The 19,899-nt window shown below is 38.1% G+C and overlaps 1 protein-coding gene across 2 annotated transcripts in view, besides 1 other annotated feature; it reads right to left on the bottom strand.

Moving 5' to 3' along the window:
* The window catches only part of FRMD3 (FERM domain containing 3), a 342,803-nt gene extending 325,747 nt beyond the window's left edge, over positions 1–17,056 (bottom strand). Inside the window, exons 1-2 of one of the 2 annotated variants that reach the window (XM_024447487.2) lie at positions 16,815–17,056; positions 6,172–6,317 (exon numbers count right to left, since the gene is read on the bottom strand). The gene's annotated coding sequence lies outside the window, so the exon portion shown is untranslated. The remainder of the gene's footprint in view (positions 1–6,171; positions 6,318–16,814) is intronic. The other variant, XM_047423155.1, reaches the window with a different exon arrangement.
* Positions 19,476–19,770: a silencer, noted in NCBI's record as "tiled region #13153; HepG2 Repressive non-DNase unmatched - State 24:Quies". NCBI's record gives its function as "represses a minimal TATA promoter and a strong SV40 promoter by Sharpr-MPRA in HepG2 cells {active_cell/tissue: HepG2}" and the evidence as "EXISTENCE:reporter gene assay evidence [ECO:0000049][PMID:27701403]".

A 19,899-nucleotide genomic window follows, 5' to 3' on the forward strand; every position in this document is an offset into this window, starting at 1 on the left:
ATAATGTACTATATATTTAATAATAAGTAAGAGTAAATTTCAGATGTCTCAGTGTAAAAAATGATAGGTAAGTCAGATGATGGATAAGTTAATTAGCTTAAATAGATCATGCCACATTGATCTATATCAAAATATCACATTATACTCCATAAATGTGAATAACTACAACTTGTTAGAAAAGATAGATAGATAGATAGATAGATAGATAGATAGATAGATACATACATACATACATACATACATACATACATACATAGAGGTAATAATTGGACACAATATTGGGAAATGATTTCAATAGCCAATATGAGTAAGGGATAGGATTAACCCTTCAATTTCCTGCAGCAGTCTAGATAAACTTTTCTTTGCAAAGATAATAAGCTATTTAAAAAAGGAGAATATGGGCACGAAGGATATTAAATTCTAGCCTGAATGCTCCAGAGACTTTCTGAAGGTAGACTAAGAAGATATCTGTGCTCAGGTACGATACTCTGCTAAAGAAAACATGTAGATACTTAATGCCATGTTTTAAAAATGCATACCATCTACTTAAGGAAGAAAATTTACCTTAGATGGACTGGAAAACTTCAATAACATTGGAAGAGATCCCTCCTCTTGCAGATGGATCTCATTTTTGATAAATAGACTCTCCCCAACCCAATCTAAAGTGTCCCAGCCCACCCACAGGCGTCTGCCTGGCCCAGGAGCTGAGGCTGAGAGCATGCTGCCCACAGAAACGGGGACTTGCCACCCAGTGCTCAGCCTGTTCTCAGAAGCTGCAGTTTCCTTCCTCCATCCTGCCATTGACCTCAAATTGAGGAAGGAAAGTAGCCATTTGATTGCTGCTGTTTCCATTTCTAGCTCTCTAAATTTAGCTGCTAGACTTTTTGACCTGGCCTTCTGAGGCCAGGCATAATATCTTCCAGTTTCATCCATGCTGTTGCAGATGATAAGATTTGTCTCTTTTGAAAGCCAAGTAGTACTTGATACGTGTTTTCAAAACGGCTACAATTTTAATATGGGTATTATTTTGATTTCGCCACTTAATTTAATATATACTTCAGCATATTTCTACATACTCCTTGACATGGTTTGGCTGTGTCCCCACCCAAACCTCAGCTTCAATTGTATTTCCCAGAATTCCTACTCTGAGAACTTTGTATTTTTCTATTTTAGTTGTTTTGTGTTGAATTGAAGGCATTTCAGCACAGAAACTGAAATTCTCCAGAATGTCGGATTCTGGAAACTCCAAAGTTTAAGGATGAATACAGAGCTCCTGGCTTTTTCAAGTTCCCATCAGATTTTCAGTTTGAGTTTTTGTCCAACAAAGTGGTTCATGTTGCTCAAATTCCCATCTCCTCCGCTTACCTTCATTCACTCATGCAACATTTGACAAACATTTACTAAGTATCTACTGTATGTCAGGCACTCCTCTAGGCACTGGGACAACAGCATGAACAAAGCAGATAGAGGTATCTGATTACCTTGCTGTGGGAAGAAACAACTTATAACCAGAATACATAAGAAAAATAGTAAACTAGATGGTGATCCAATTATCTGAGGGGAAATAAGCAGGGAAAGGAAAAGGGGGTGTTGGGAGTAAAGATGACTGTTGCAATTCATTACATAGAATCACAAGAAATTGCCATCTTGGAGGTCATATATTACTTTTGAACTACTGGCAATTTCATGTGATTTAATCTGCATTGGTTTTCTACTGTTGCATAACAAATTATCACACACTTAGTGTTCTCAGCAAATAATGCAATGAGTACAAAGATCCTCAGGGAGTCATATGCTTGGATTGTTGAAGAACAGCCATGAGGTCTTAGTAGCTGGACTGGAGACCGAAAGTAGCAGGATTTCAAGTCAGACAGCATTGCAAAGTGAATAGATCACACAGGGACCAGTTAGCAATGGAAAGGATTTGACTTTAACTCTGAGAGTATTGAGAACTCAATAAAGAATTCTGAGCAGATTTTGGCATGATCTGACTTACAAACTGACAGGAACACTTGCTGCTGTGTTGAGAACACATGAAGAGAGGCAAGGGCAGAAGCAGGGAGACCAGTTAGGAATCGGCTTCCGTAATCTAGGCAAGAAATGATGGTGGTTTGGACCTGGGTAGCAAAGGAGGTGGTGAGGAGTGACTGGGTTCGGAGTATATTTTGAAAGTAGGACTGAAAAGACTGCACATAAGGTAAAAGAAAAGTCAAAAATGACTCTGCTATGTTTTGGATTTAGTCTGTCCCTGCACAAACTCATGCTGAAATTTGATTCCCAATGTGGCAATGTAAGTCATATGGACTAGTGGGAGGTCTTTGAGTCATTGAGGCTGGGGGGGATTCCTTCATGGACAGATTAATGTTCTCCCATGGAGGTGAGCACTTGCTCTCTCAGGAATGGATTCATTCCTGCAAAAAAAGGTTCTTAAAAAGAGTCTGGCTTCCTTGGTTTCTCTTGCTTCCCCTCTCCCAATGTGATCTCTTTGCAAACTTCACTCCTCTTCACTCCCCTTCTACTTTCCACCATGAGTAGAAGCAACAAGAGGCCTTCACCAGAGGCAGCTGCCCAATCTTGAACCACCCAGCCACCAGAGTCATAAGCCAAATTAGCATCTTTTCTTTATAAATTACGGAGTCTCTGGTATTCTGTTTTAGCAACACAAAACAGACTAAGATAGACTTCCAAGGTTTTTGACTTGAGCAACCAAAAGGATGCAATTGCCATTCATGAAAATAGTGACGACTGCAGGAAGAGCAAGCCTGTGAAGGAGATACCAGTAGCTTTGTTTTAGTCAGGTTAAATTTTAGTTGCGTGTTGACATCTGAATTGAGATTTCAAGTAGACGGTTGGGTACACAAGGCTGGGGCCAAGGGAGACATCTAGCTAAGACAGAAATTATATATTCAGCTAAACATAAGTCCACACTGACATCTCTGACCTTAACCCAGTACCACAGAGTTCATTCTAGCCTTCCTGTCTTGCTCATCTGTAACTTTACTCTCTGACAATGAGAAACCTGGTCCCACCAATGAAGATCATTCTTGACCTTGACAGAGGAATTTCTGTGAAACAGGGGAACCTAAAGCTTGGCTGGAGTGTGTTTCAAAGAGAATGAGAGAAGAGAAATTGGAGTCAACAACTATACGTAAACAGTGGTTCCCAACATTCAGTATAGATCACAATCACCTGCAGGCTTGTTAAAGCACAGATTGCTGGGCCCACACCCAGAATTTTTGATTCAGTAAATTTGGAGTAAGGCCCAAGAATATGTATTTCTTACAAGCTCCCAGATGATGCTAATGCTGCTGGTACTTATACCACACTTTGAGAACCACTAGACTCACAGAATTTTGCTTGACAAGGAAGACAAGAAATGGAGCAATAGATAGATGGTGAAGTTTTTTGAGGTGTGTGTGTGTGTGTGTGTGTGTGCATGCGCATGTGTGTGTGTGTAGGCAAGTGGTAACAGCACATTTGTAGTCTAATGAGAAGAGTCAAGTAAAGAGGAAAAGAATACTGTTTCAAGAGATGGGGATAGTGGAAATGGTAGGGAATTGCTGGAGGAAAATCCTTGAGCTGGTGAGAGGATAGAATCAGTGCCGAGAAAGGACAGGCCTGAAAGGGCAGCATGTTCAATTCATTCTTAATAACTAGAGGGAAAGTAGAGTATATCAGAACAAATGGAGGTAGATGAGAGGTGGCACCGGGGCCTTGTGAAGTCTCTTTTCATTGTCTCTCATTTCTCAGTGAAAGAATATGTAGTTATCCCCTGAGAGAGAGGCTGGAGGAGGCAGCGTCAGAGTTTGGAGGTTAAAGAATGCAAAGAATCGCCTAAGAGAAGGGAGAGTAAATAGATTAGAGAAATATAGAATGATTGCTACGCAGCATTATGAGCCTTCTTGGGGTGAGTGGTCAGGAAGTGAAAGTGAGACAGGCATGTGTGGCTGTGTTTTTCTTCCAGCCTGGTTCAGCAGCACGGGAACAGGCGTGGAGTAAGAGCAGAGTTGGATTTGTGCAGGATGTGGTTTCTCAGGGAAAGGCAATGAAGCAAGAGAAAAGCCAGAGATTTGGCTTGTTGACTATAATGAAAGCACTTTCCATTTCTGTTTGGCCTTATGAAATATTCAATAAAAAATACTTTCTACATTTATCTTTTCCTGTTATTGAAGCAACAATAATAATTGCAATTTTAAAGGCTGTGACCATCATGGAAATGTATTTATAATACAGTGTTATTGAACAAAGGTAGGAATCAAAACTGGGTCTATCCTGGGATTGCAGAAAAATAAAAATGACGGAAGAATGTGGACAATGGTAAGTACAGGGATGACTGAAAAGAGTTTTATTCATGTAGTGGTGAGATTGTGGAGGAATTTCTTTCTTATTTTCCTATTTATTTATGTTCAGTTTAGGTCAATAAACATTAATTGAGCATCTATTAATGCCCATCATTGTTCTAGGCTCCAAGAGCACCAAAAAAAAGGAAGAAGATTCAGAAAAGAAGAAAGAGGAAGATGGGAAGAAGATGGTGGAGAAGGAGGAGAAATTATAGTTTTCTTTTTCACTTAAAAAGCCTATAGGCTAAGAATGATATTGCCATGTTTTTGTTTATATAACAAATCATTATACTAAAAATTTTACCATAAATGTGGCAAACAGGATTTTAGTGTCTTTAACAGACTACATTAGTTATATTCTTTTGGTTATAAGTAAGAATCTTACTAAAATTAAGTTAAGCAAAGCAGGACACCTGATTGTAAGGACTGGATCGCAAAAACCTAATGGCAAGAAATAGTGGGACCCCAGGAGCAAGCTGGAAGCAGAGACCTGAACACAACTAGTCTCTCTGCCTCTCATCTCTACTCTTCTGTGAGTGTTGCCTTCATTCCTCTCTCTTGCTGCATCCAGCTTCCTCTCCTCCTCAGTCCATATGGCAAAAAATGATGACCTTGAATACCTTTACTTGTTACTGGTCCAGTAATTAGGAAAAGAACGATTCTCTCTCTCTCTCTCTCTCTCTCTCTCCTCCCCCTGACCCCCCACCTTGCCACCCATAGCATTCCCAGCTTGAGTCAGACATCCATTACTAAACTGATGAAATAGTAAAAGCGTCCAAGAAAGGGATTTTGGTCAAGTTTGGGTCAATCAAAAGTGACAAAAGGGCTGTGTTGTTTTCAAAACATGGCTGCTGAGAGTTCCACCACTGTAAGCGTGTGATTAAAAAACAAGGAGGCTATTCTAAAAAATAGCAAGGCTATTACCCCAATAAGTATACATTCCTTCTCTTTTCTACTCAACATATATACACCCTCTTCCGCTACACATGAAATTCCAAATATGACCTTACTTTATGTAACACAACCATCTTCTCCCTAGTGGCAAAGCCACACCCAGCTACTGCACCCAAAGGAGATTTCACAGAACCACTGCTCTCCATTCAGGATCTTCAGGTGATGTCCATTATTTCTTTAGTGTAATTTCCATCTGCTCCAGGTATGACCCTTTCTGATTTTACAACTGGCAAACAAAATGATAAGTGTGATCAATGTAACCAACTTCTACCCTATATACAAATGTGGAGGAAAAACAAAATAACTACCAAAAAAAATCCAAATGGGCACTAGCCAAAAATACATATTTTACTCTTTTTATTAGAGATAATAAACTACATTAAATTACTGGTGTATTTCATGGGTCACTGATAAGTTCCATTCGAGAAGAACTCCATTTAATAGTACTCCATGACACAAATCTTTTCATCACCTTTAAAGTCCTAGGTCTGCTAAATGGTACTCCAGGGACAAGGCCATGACCATGCAGCTTGTTTCTTAGCAGAAACACTGAGGAATTTTCTCACCTTCTTTGTATCTATTTAAGGACCTTGGTTTGGGGCCACACGTGGGAAACTATTAATAGAATGTGGGGTAGGTTAGCAAGGTGGCTTTCTCTCAGATTACACTGGCTGATTGTCTCTGTACCTAAGGCTCTATTTTGGTCCAGGAAGCTGCATCCCTTAGTCCAACAGAGGACCTAGAAAAAGGGGTATCAGGAAACCCAGGACCTCTAAGATTTTCCTTTCTAATTGTTGATTCTCCAACTTCCCCATAAAAACCTCAATCTTAGTTTTAGAGATGGGGAATAACAGAGAGTCCAGCTGTTATTACTTACCAGATGTGATTTTCTAGCCCAGTCTCAGTTCACTGGGTACTAACAGGGAAGATGTTTCTTCCTTGTTGCATCCTTGATCTCTCGTTCTGTGTCTACTTTCATCCAGGCTCCTGGGACTGAAGCTCGCCACTGACTGCAACATCACCCTGAAAACACAGAATGCAGCCTTGCTGCCTCAAGTTGAAATCATCCCTTAAGTTCTGTTACTCACAATGCCTGCTCCCTAGGACCAAGCTCTCTATTAGTCAAGATTCTATTAGTTGTATTTGAAAGACATCCTCTCAAAGAACTTAAGGGAAAAAAAAGAAGGCTGCGAGAGAGTGAAACTATTAGCAGGAATGAAACCCAATTTCGATAATGAACTAGAACGAGGGGTTTAGTCCTAATCAAACCTCTGCCTCCCATATGTACTCTTCCAGTCAGCTTCACTGATACCTCTTGCTGCAGAATGGTTTTCTCTATTTTTCAGGCAACATGATGTCAAATGTGGCTTCTGAGAGCTTCTGAGTTAATGGGTTACTGGCCCATGTGACTGGAGGAAAAGCAGCTCTTTCTCAACCCCCAGTTGGTCAGATGGATCAATCAATGGTAGTTAGGAAGCCCAGCTCACTCCTTATAAATGTGACTAGGGAATTCTCCCACTATAAACTATGGAGAATGGAGGTGGGAGAGTTCTCATATTAAGAGGGGATATACTTGTTCAATAAACACACAAAACTGTATGCCAGTGAATTGGATAACTTAGGTCAAATAAATTCCTAAAAAGATGTGAACTACTGAAACTGACTAAAGAAGAAATAGACAAATCTGAATAAACCTATAACAAATAAAGAGATTGAATTACTAGCTTTTAAACTTCCGACGAGGAAAAGTACAGGCTCAGATAGCTTCGTTGATGAATTCCTTCAAATGTTTAAGGAAGAATTAATACCAATTTTTCACATACTCTTCTAGAAAATAGAAAAGTAGGGAATTCTTTTCAACTAATTCTATTGGGCCAGCATTACCCTGATATCAAAGCCAGACAAGCCAGGCACATTGGCTCATGCCTATAATCTCAGTGCTTTGGAAGGCCAAGGCGGGAGGATCACTCGAAGCCAGGAGTTTGGGCAATATAGCAAGACCTCATCTCTACAAAAAAAAAATAAAAAATTTTCTAAAAGCCAGACAAAGACATCATAAGAAAAGAAAATTACAGATCAATACCTCTTACAGTTATAGACAAAAAAATCCTGAACGAAATACTAGCAAACAAATCCAACAACATACACAAGGATTAATCACCATGGCCAAGTAGAATTAATCCCAGGAGGGCAAGATTGGTTTTGTAGCCAAAAATCAGTTAATGTAATATACCACATCAACATAATAAAAGACAAAACCATATGATCATCTCAATAGTTGCAAAAAAAAAAATTGTCGAACTCTACATTTTACCATGGTAAAACTACTCAGGAAACCAGGAACAAAAGGGAACTTCCTTCACCTAATAAAAAGTATCTACAAGAAAGCCCACAGCTAACATCATACTTTTTGTTAACTTTTATTTAAGTTCAAGTGTACATGTGCAGGTATGTTATACAGGTAAACTTGTGTCATGGTGTTTGTTGTACATATTAATTCATCACCCAGGTATTAAGCCTACTACCCACGAGTTATTTTTCCTGATCCTCTCCCTCCTCCAACCCTTTATCCTCCAACAGGCCCAAGTGTATGTTATTCCCCTCTATGTGTCCATCTTAATAGTAAAAGATTAAATACTCTCCCCCATGATCAATAATAAGATAAGGATGTCCATTCTTACCACTTCTATTTAACATTGTACAGGAGTTTATAGCCAAGGTAATTGGGCAAGAAAAAAATAATAAAGGGCACCCAGATTGGAAATAAGGAAATAAAACTACCTCTATTTTGACATGATTTTATATACAGAAAATCCTAATGAATCCACTAAAAAATCTATTAGAACTAATCAACAAGTTCAGCAAGGTTGCCAGCTTAATATACAAAATATGCACTATCGATTGTATTTCTCTATGCTAGGAATGAAAATCTAAACATTTAAGAACACAGTTTCATTCACAATAGTATCAAAAAATAAAATACTTCTTTTTAAAACAACTACAAATTCTTAAAAGTAAAAAACATTGCTAAAAGAAATTAAAAGCCTAAATAAATAGAAAGACATATTATCCCATGTTGATATATTGGAAGAATATTATTAAGATGGCAATACCCTCAAATTGATCTATAGATTGAGTACAATCCCTATCAAAAGCCCAGCTGACTTTTTTTTTCCAGAAACTGGCAAAATTCTAAAATACATATGGAAATATAAAGGACCCAGAGCAGCCAAAATCATCTTACAAATAAAGTTGTAGGATGCACACTTTCCAATTTCATAAAAGCAATAGTAAATAAGACAGTGTAGGTACTGGCATAAGAATAGACATGTAGATCCATAGAATAGAATCAAAGTTCACATATAAACCTTCACATTTATGGTCAACTGATTTCAACAGAACGTCAAGACAATTCGATGAGGGAAAGAATGGTCTTTTTAACTAACAGTGCTGTGACCACTGGATATCTATCTACACAAAAATAAAGTTGGACCCATTCCTCACCATATATACAAACACTCCAAGTGGATCATAGACCTAAATGCAAAAGTTAAAACTATAAAACTCTTCGGAGAAAACATAGGTAGAAATCTCTGTGATCTTGGGTTAGACAAAGCCTTCTTGGATATGACACAAAAAGCACAAGCAACAAAGGGGGAAAAGAACTGGACTTTATTGTTTTTATAGCAACAAACGCCTATACCAAACAAGAAGAGAGATCTCAAATAAACAATCTTCAAGCAACTAGAAAAAGAAGAACAAACTGAGTCCAAATTGGGCTGAAGGAAGGAAATAACAAAGATCAGAGCAGAAATAAATGGAGACCAGAAAATAATAGACAAAAAAATTAATGACAATAAGAGTTGCATTTTTAAAAGATAAAATTGACAAACTCTTAGGCTAACTAGGAAAAAAAGAGAGAAGATTAAAATAAATAAAATTAGAAATGAAAGAGGAAACATTACAACAGATAGCAAAGAAATGCAAAGGATCAAAGAAAATTACTGTGAACACTCATATGCTAACAAATTGGATAATCTAGAAGAAATAGATAAATTTCTAGACACAAACGGCCTGCCAACATTGAACTATGAAGAAATAAAAAAAAAATCTGAACAGACCAATAATGAGTAAGGAGCTGAATCCGTAATAAAAAATTACCTCATCAAAGAAAAGCCCAGGACCAAATGGCTTCACAGCTAAATTCTACCAAACATTTAAAGAAGAACTAATACTAATCCTTCTCAAATGCTTCTATAAAATTGAACTGGAGGGAACACTTCGAAATTCATTTTATGAGGCCAGCATTACCCAGATACCAACGTCAGACAAGGATAGTACAAGAGAAAAAAACTATAGGTCAATATCCCTGATGAACATAGATGGAAAAATCCTCAACAAAATACTAGGAAATTCAATCACATATCAAAACAATCATTCACCATGACCAAGTGAGATTTATCCCAGGGATGCAAGGATGGTTCAATATACACAAATCTATAAATGTGATATACCACATTTACAAAATGAAGTATAAAAATCATCTGATCATCTCAATAAATGCAGAAAAATCATTTGATAAAATTCAACACTCTTTCATGGTAAAAAAACAGAACTCTTAACAGATTAGGTACAGAAGAAATGGACTTCAACACAATAAAGGTCACATAGCTAACATAGTACTCAACAGTAAAAAATTGAAAGATTTTCCTCTGAGTTCAGGGACAACACAGGGATGCCCACTCTCATCATTTCTTTTCAACATAATACTGGAAGTCCTAGCCAGAGCAATTAGGCAAGAGAAAGAAATAAAAGGCATCCAAATAGAAAAGAAAAAAGTAAAATTTTCTCTGTTTGCTGATGACATGATCATATATATAGAAAATCCCAAAGATTCCACCAAAAAACTGCTAGACCTGATAAACAGATTTAGTAAAGTTGCAGGATACAAAAACAACATATGAAAATTAGTAGCATTTCTAAACACTAATAACAAACTATTCAAAAAGGAAACAATTACATTTACAATAGTAACAAGAAAAAAATTTAAACCTTAGGGGTAAATTTAACCAAGGAGATGAAAGACCTCTGTACTGGAAACTACAAATCACTGATGAAATAATAGGAGGAAACACAAACAAATGAAAGATATTCCATGTTCATGAAGCTAAAGAATTAATATTGTTTAAAATGCCTATACTACCCAAAATTGTCTATAGATTCAATGTAATCTCTATGAAAATTCCAATGTCAGCTTTCAGAGAAATGTAAAAAAAAAAAAAATCCTTAAATTCATGTGGAACTACAAAAGAACAAAGCTGGAGACATCACACTCCCTGATTTCATAGTATGTTATAAAGCTATTGTAATCAAAACAGCATGGTAATGGCATAAAAACAGACACATCAACCAACGGAAGAGAATAGAAAGACTGTAAATAAACCCACACATATACAGTCAATTGATTTTTGACAAAGGTTCCAAGAACACACAATGGAGAAAGGATGACCTCTTCAACAAATGGTGCTGGGAAAACTAGATATCCACATGCAAAAGAATAAAATTAGAAACTTATCTGACACCATGAACCAAAAACAACTCAAAATGAATTAAAGACTTAAACATAAAACCTGGAACTGTAAAACTACTAGACAAAAGCATAGGCAGAAATCTCCACAACATTAGCCTGGGCGCAATGGTTTTTTGGATATGGCCCTGAAAGCTCAGGCCACAAAGGCAAAAATAGACAAATGTAATTGTATCAAACTAAAAAGCTTTGACACAGCAAAAGAAACAATTAACAAGGTGAAGAGACATCTTTGCAACTATGCAACTATATACCTGATAAAGCTTAATATTTAAAATATATAAGAAACTCAAATAGTGAATTTCTCAATAGTAAGAAAAACAAATAGCCCAATTTAAAAATAGGTAAAGAATCTGAATAGGCCCTTCTCAAAAGAAGACATACGAATGGCCAACAGGGCCATGAAGAAAATGCCCAATGTCACTAATTATCAGGGAAATAAAAATTAAAACCATAATGAGATATCATGCCACCCTTGTTAGAATGGCTTTTATCAAAAAGAGAAAAGATAACAAGTGTTGGTGAGGATGCTGAGAAAAGGGAACCCATGTATGCTGTTGGTGGAAATGTAAATTGGTATAGCCATCATGAAAAAATTGTGTGTAGGTTGCTCAAAAAAGTAAAAGTAGAACTCTGTACAATCCGGTACTCTCATTTCTGGGAACATATTCAAAGGAATTGAAATCATTGTATCAAAAGGATATCTGTACTCCCATACTCCCAATAGCCAAGATAAGGAATCAACCTGTGTTCACTAACAGATAAATGAATAAAGATAATGTATGTCCAGACAATGGAATACTATTCAGTCTGTAAAAAGAAGGCAATTCTGTCACTTGAAACAACATGGATAAATCTGGAGGACAGTATACTAAGTGAAATAAGCCAGGCACAGAAAAACACGTACCTCGTGATCTCACTTATATATGGAATCTTTAAAAAGTTGAATTCATAGCAGTAGAAAGCAGAATGATGGCACCAGAACCTGGGAGTATGGGGATCAAGAGAATGAACGGGGAATTATTGGCCAAAGGGTACAAAGTTTCAGCTAGACAGGAACAATAAGTTTTGAGATCTACTACACAGAAGAGTGACTACAGTCAATAACGTATACTTCAAAATAACCAAGGGAAGAAATCTCAAATGTATTGCCACAAAAAATATCAAGTAAGGTGATGGTTATGTTAACTAGTTTGATTTAATCATTTCACATTATATACATATATCAAAATACCACAATGTACCCCATGAATGTATACAGTTATGATTTGTCAATTAAAAATAATACTAATTTTTTTAAATGAAAAAAACTTCAGAAGAAAACAAAGCATAATGGAAAATAAAAGTGTTGTGGAGAGGGAGGCTAGATCAAACAAGAACAGCAAATTGTTGAGGCTGGGTGCTAAAAACAAGGAGATTCATTATATTGTCTCATGTTTGTTTGAAAATTTTCATATTAAAGGTTTACTTTTTAAAGATGAAATGTTAAATAAATAAAATAAATTTTAAAATGCTAAAACAATTTAACTTTTGTGCTTCAGTGAACACCATCCAAAAAGTGAAAAAAACCCACAGAATGGGAGAAAATATTTGCAAATTACACCCCGTTAAGGAAATTGTATACCAAGTATATAAAGAACTCTTACAACTCAATAATAAAAGGGCAACCCAGTTTTAAAACAGGCAAAGGATTTGAATAGACAGTCCTCCAAAGATACACAAATGACCAATAAGCACATGAAGAGATGCTCAACTTCCGTAATCATTGAGGAAATGCAAATCAAAACCACAAGATCCACTTCACATCCACTGGGAAGGCTATAATCAGGCAGATAATAACAAGTATTGTCAAGGATGTGGAGTGATTGGAACCCTAATACACTGTTGATGGGAATGTAAAATGGTGTGGCTGCTTTGAGAAAATGTGTGGCACTTCCCCAAAAGGTTAAACACAGACTTACCATATGATTCAATAATTCCATTCCTAGGTATATGTCCAACAAAAGCAAAAATGTATGTCCACACAAAAATTTGTATACAAATGTTCATAGAAGCATTCAAAATAGCCACACACAAAAAGTGGAAACAACCCAAATGTTCGTCAGCGGATTAATGAATAAATAAAATGTGGCATATTCATACAATAGCATATTATTTTGCAATAAAAAAATGAAGTGTGTAGTTATGCTAAGTGAAAGAAATTAATCCCAAAAGACCACATAGTGTATGAATTCTTTTATGTGAAATGTCCAAAATAGCCGGCAGAGTGGTTGGGGAGAAATGGGGAGTGATGGGTACATGGTTTCATGTTAGAATGATGAAAATGTTCTAAACTTGATGGCAGCGATGCTTGCGTAACTCTGTGAATATACTAAAACCATTGAATTATACACTGTTAATTGTATGATATAAGAATTATACCTCAAAAGGTTGTCATAAGTAATAAAAAGTAATCTCTTTTTTTTTCTTTAGAGACAGGATCTCACTCTGTCACCCCAGCTGGAGTACAGTGGCACAATCATAGCCCATAAAGACTGGAACTCCTGGGCTCAAGTGATCCTCCCACCTCAACCTCCCAAAGCCCTGGGATTGCAGGTATGAGTCACTGCATCCAGCCGAAAAGCAATATCTTAATCAAGTCTTGAGAAATACCCAGATCAGAAAATGTTGCAATTGGAAGAATTCCAGGTTTAGTGAAAAGATATTCAGTGGATTTTCAAGAGAACTTCCAATTCTTAAATTTAGTTCATTAAAGTGATACTATTTAGTTTAAAAGGATTTAGAGTATATTTGCTCTTAAACTTGATTTATTAGGGAACCTAGTATCTGTTTTACTGTGGATAATTTAATAAAGAGTGGTCTTTTTATTTTAAATTCTTGGGGTAAGAAAAGGTAGTAACTCCCATTATATTGGAATAATTTCAAATCACCAACTTGCACATACAACAGTGTGCTCTAACTACAATCTTGGATGAGGTATAAAACTCTCCATAGCAGAATCTGTTAACCTAAACAAGCAAAAACATAACAAAAAGTTACTCACTTTGTATGTCCTTGGTAATAAGTTTAATGCAAATTTAGAAGAAAAATGAAATATTGGTGAGATGCTATATTTTTACTTCAAAGCCCTGGAATTAGCATTTGGAGAGGTTCCCAAACATTATTTATGGTGTCAGTGACTCTGTTCTCAAATTGAAGTACCATTTTTGGCCTAGATTTGAGATCAGGTACAATTAATGAAGCACCTGGGGAAATTTTTCAAACAGATCCAGATAATCAGTTTCAAGTTGTAAGAGACGTTGCAATTTGGGATCGATAAGCCTATAGCCTCTTGAACATGGAGCACGTCTCACTCATAATGAATCAATGTTTTAAAAACTGAACTTATTCCACTAAACACAAGTCCTCTCCAGATGATATTTAAGATCTTCACCAACCATGACTTACAACTCATTTCCAGAGCCAAGAGTAATATTTTCCATCCCAAATTATTCCATAGCTTTCCAATCTCTTCTATTTTTGAGAATTCGCTTTAGAGAAACTATTATTTCTTATTTTTACTGGCTTTTCTGCACAAAAATTTGTCCTGGTAAAAATTTAAGTTGCTTCAAAAAAATAACATGCTGACTACATTTCATTTTGGAAAACTTCAGTGTTAAGAACATCTCGCTACTCACACTTGATTCCCCTCAACATAGAACCAGACATGTCCCATTCCTGCCAGCAGAGGGAGGGGTAGAAGCCCTTTCTAGCAATACCATCAGCAATTTGTAATGCAAAAGCCTTCCCCCTGCCAGCCCCATTTTCTCACAATACCGTACTAGCCACATTTCTATTATATTTTTTCCAAAGGAAAGTACATATTTACCATTTTACTCAAAGTATAATTAAAATTACATTACCAGATCCATCAGACACACTTCAATTTACATCTTGCTTTAGATATAATCTAAATTAGATATAATCCCTTGCATTAGATACAATCCCTTGTTGAAAAAAAAATTTTTGAGACAGGGTCTCACTCTGTAGCCCAGGCCGGAGTGTGGTGGCCCAATCATGGCTCACTGCAGCCTCGACATCCCAGGCTCAAGCAATCCTCCCACCTCAGCCTCCCAAGTAGCTGGGACTACAGGTGCATGCCACCACGGCCAGCTGATTTTTGTATTTTTTGTAGAGATGGGGTCTCACTATGTTGCCCAGGCTGCTCTCAAACTCCTGGGCTGAGGTAATCTTCCTGCCTCTGAAGTGCTGAAATTACAAACATGAGCCACTGCAGCCAGTGGAAACTCTTTCTTGTCTTCCCTGAACCCACCTGATCCTGGTTTTCCTCCTGCCTCTCTGGCCTTGCCTCTTCAGCCTCCTTCGATAGTGATTCCTCTTCTGCCTGACTTCCAAGTGTTTGGCTCCACAGGCTCTGTTTAAAATAAGTCTCTTGGCCGGGCGTGGTGGCTCATGCCTGTAATCCCAGCATTTTGGAAGGCCAAGGCGGGTGGATCACGAGGTCAAGAGATCGAGACCATCTTGGCCAACATGGTGAAACCCCATCTCTACTAAAAATACAAAAAAATTAGCTGGGCATGGTGGCGCACACCTGTAGTCCCAGCTACTCGGGACCTGGGAGATGGAGGCTGCAGTGAGCTAAGATCGCACCACTGCACTCCAGTCTGGTGACAGAGCAAGACTCCATCTCAAAAAAATAAAATAAATAAGGTAAAATGAGTCTCTTAACCTCCCCCGATTATCTCCTCCTCCTCCTCCTCCTTGTCTTACTCCTCTTTTCCCTGTCTCATTCAGGAGCATTTTAACTTCTTATATTCCCTCCACATCCAATCAGCCTCCTTCCTAGCCTTCACTCTTTCATCCCCGTTAATTTTAGAGTGAGGAAGTCCAGCGAAGGGGGTGTTGGTATTGTCACTCCATCTCTCACCTCCCCTTTCAGCCACTCATCTTCTTCCATAAAGAACTTTGTCATGGACAGAAAGTTTTGTTTCTTGAAACCTGTGTCTTATGAGATTTCAAGCAAATTTCACTTTGCTTTTAAAATTGTGCCACACCTCTTGTAATTCTCCTTGAGAAACAATAAGAGGAAGAGCCAGCACTCCTCTCAGGGAATAAGGCAGGCTCAGGAGCCCAAATGCCTGGGTTCTAGTCCAGATTCTGCACTCATTGCTGTGGGACTTGATCTCTCTGTGCAACAGCTGTCTGATCCGTGAAATGGATCGATAATAGGACAAATGAGGTGTCACGCAGTGTTAGCTCTATTCATTATAATAGACTTCTATTATTGAATTAAGTAAATAAAGCCTCACAGGGGCTTGAAAGACATGAAAGACAGAGGCAGGGAACAAGAATAAAGCATTTCAATTCACCTTTCGTTTAAGTCTGAGGTTTCTTAAACTAGAGCCTCATTAAAACCTTAGGAACATCACTTCTCTCATTTGGAGCCTCTCGGGGAGACTGGCAAACCCTGAGTCCTGCTATGTCTGGGTTGTAAACTTTGTGGGCGGTGGCAGCAGCCTGGAAGACACAGCAGGATTGTGAGGGAGCCAGGAAACCTCCAGGGCAGCCCTGCAGGATGCCACCGCCAGAGCTCAGCCTCATTCCATATGAAATGGAGCCCACTCAGCCAGGAGGAACAAGGTGCTTCCTGCAGCAAAGCGAGCAGCCAGGACCAAAGGCTTAAGGATCCAAAGAACCCAACCAGTAAGGGGGCAGTCTTGGAAGAAACTCTATATATAATGCAGTAATAGAAACTCTTATTTGCCTAATCTGACATTCATTGTTTCTTCCTCTCTATTCACAGAATCCCGCTTTTTACCTGGGCACATTGCTACCTATAAAGAGTGCATTTCCCAGGATCCTTTGGAGTTGGCTGTGGCTATGCATCTAAATTTTGACCAATGGAGTGTAAGCAGCATTGAGCTTATACTCACCTCTCTTCTTCCTTCCTGCTGCCTGGAATACAGACTTGATGGCTGGAGCTCCAAGCAGCCATCTTGGGCCAAGAAACGCTATGTAGAGAGGCAGAGAGACAGGAGCGTGAGTCTCCTATGATTATGTGCAACTACCATCCACAGAACTTTCTACTTTCAGAGCTCTTTATGCAAGTTAGAAATAAACTTCCAACTTATCTAAGCTATTGTTATTTTTTGGTTTTCTGATACATGCACACAAATGTAATCCCAAACAATAGAGAAATTCCACACAAGTATTATCTAATTAGATTTTTTTTAAGTTTATGAGTGCACAGCATAATCAGGGAAACTAAATACTTCAGGTTGGCTCCTTAGAAAGGGCTAATGAATATCCCAAGTGGAAAATAAGAGATAAACAGGAACCTTACCTAATGATAAAAGAATAATGTCCACAGGAAGATTTTTTTAATCTTAAATTTGTATGCACTTAATATGACAGCTTCAAATTATGTAAAGCAAAAGCAACCAAACTGAAAAGAAAGAGAAACAAATCCACAATCAAAGTTGGAGATTTTGGCTGGGTGCGGTGGCTCACGACTGTAATCCCAACACTTTGGGAGGCCAAGATGTGTGGATCACTTGAGGTCAGAAGTTTGAGACCAGCCTGGCCAACAGAGTGAAACCCAATCTCTACTAAATATACAAAAATTAGCCGGGTGTGGTGGTATGTGTGTACCTGTAATCCCAGCGACTCAGGAGCCTGAGGCAGGAGAATCACTTGCACCTGGGAGGCAGAGGTTGCGGTGAGCCAAGATCATGCCACTGGACTCTAACCTGTGCAAAAAAAAAAAAAAAAAGTTGGAGATTTTAACAACCTCTCCCCTCTTAGTAAAATAACTGTTATGGGCTGAATTGTGCCCCCCTACCAAAATTCATCTGTTGAAGTCCTAACCCCCACTCAGTCCCGCGGGGAAAACTTCTCAGGCCACAGAGGCAGGAAGGGATGTGCTCTCCTGAGAAGCCTTTTTGGGTTTACCTTACAACAAATTATTATGTTTTCCCTTCTGCCCTAGCTGCTAGGGAACCTGCAGCCACAGCAACTTAAGAGGGCTATTGAAATGTGCTCTGTGCCCTAACCCTACCCCTGGGCTTCATCTTATTTTCCTCACTGTGCTTTCTTTTATCCCATTTTCTCAACTATTTTGTCTTCTTATACATATCCTTGGAAGCTGCCACAAGTCCTCTTTTAGGATCTATATAAGGCATAAATAATTAAGAAGGGATATGGATGAGGGAGGCAGCCCAATGAGATAAAGAGTGCAAAAAAATAAAGGCTAAATAGGCATTACTCCAAAGATTATATACAAGTAGCCAACAAGCATATGACAAGATGTTCAATATCACTAATCAATGGAAAAATGCAAAACAAAACCACAACATCACCCTACACCCATTGGCATGTCTACTATTAAAAACAGAAAAAAAATAACAAGTGTTGGTGAGGATATGGAGAAACTGGAACCCTTGTGCTCTGCTGGTGGGTATGTAAAATTGTGTCATTGTTATGGAAAACAATATGGCAGTTCTTCAAAACACTAAAGATAAAATTACCATATCATCTAGCAATCCCTCATCTAGGTATATACTCAAAATAATCAAAAGCAGGCTCGCAAAGAGATATTTGCAGCTGGGTGCAGTGGCTCACGCCTGTAATCCCAACACTTTGGGAGGCCAAGGCAGGTGGATCACATAAGGTCAGAAGTTGGAGACCAGCCTGACCAACATGGTGAAACCCCGTCTCTACTAAAAATACAAAAAATTGGCCGGGCATGGTAGTGTGCGCCTGTAGTCCCAGCTACTAAGGAGGCTGAGGCAGGAGAATCATTTGAACCTGGGAAGTGGAGGTTCCAGTGAGCCTAGATCGTGCCACTGCACTCCAGCCTGGGTGACAGAGCAAGACTCCATCTCAAAAAAAAAAAAAAAAAAAAAACAGATGTTTGCACACCCACATCAAGAGCTGGAAGCAACCCAAGTGTTCGTCAACAGATGAATGGATAAACAAAATGTGGTACATAATATGAGAGAATATTATTTAGCCTTAAAAAGGGAAGAAATTCTAACACATGTGACAACATGGATGAACACTGAGGACATTCTGCTAAATGAAATGAGCCAGTCACAAAAAGACAAACACTGTAAGGTACCACTTATATGAAGTATCTAAAGTTGTCAAATTTACAGACACAGAAACTAGAAGGGTGGTTGCCAGTAGTTGGAAGGATGGAGAAATGGAGAATTGTTTAATGGGTTTCAGTTTTACAAGATGAAAGAGTCTGGAGATTGATTGTACAACAATGTGAATGTACTTAACACTACTGAACTGTACACTCAAAATGGTTAAGATGATAAATTTCATGTTATATTTAATCACAATTTTCTTAAAGTAAAGGCAAGAAAGACAAGCTTATTTTTTCACAATTTTTGCCCAGCGTACATCCTGATGTCAAGTTGAAAGGAGCTGGTGGTTTCATTTGGAATCTGTCCCATCCCCACCCTAGCCTTTCAGGAGAAGTAGGGAGTATTTTACATCCAACCAGTGAGAGTAAAAATAATCACCTAGCTTGGAGGTAAACAAATATTCAGGATTTGAACAAAGAATACTTTCACTTGGATAAGTATTCTTAGGTATTCTTTTTCCTAAGTAGGATTGCCCCAAAACTGTAATTGTTCATCTTGAATATGTAATCAGAACCACATTTGTGAGACAGAATTTTTTTTCTTTCAACTTCTCTCTCAACATCTACTCCCTTGTTCTAATCTGCTTATGACAATGTACCTCCCACACGCAACTAAAAAAGCAAAAATGTCAAGTGAAGTGTTTTATGTTAAGGATCCAGATTACTGAACAGACTGTGTCACTAAAGCATGTTAATAGTGTAAGCAGAGGGAAATATAGGTTAGTGAGTCAACTCTTTTCTAGTTCATCAGAGGCCAAGCAATCTTTTCAAATGATTGATGTTTTGTTCAGTCTTGGCTAAGTGATTCTTCCTTTCCCTTCCAACCTAAAGGCCATGCTAATGGGAGGTTCCCATGCCATGGTTTT

This window comes from Homo sapiens, chromosome 9, assembly GCF_000001405.40.
Source record: "Homo sapiens chromosome 9, GRCh38.p14 Primary Assembly".
Lineage (NCBI taxonomy): Eukaryota > Metazoa > Chordata > Mammalia > Primates > Hominidae > Homo > Homo sapiens.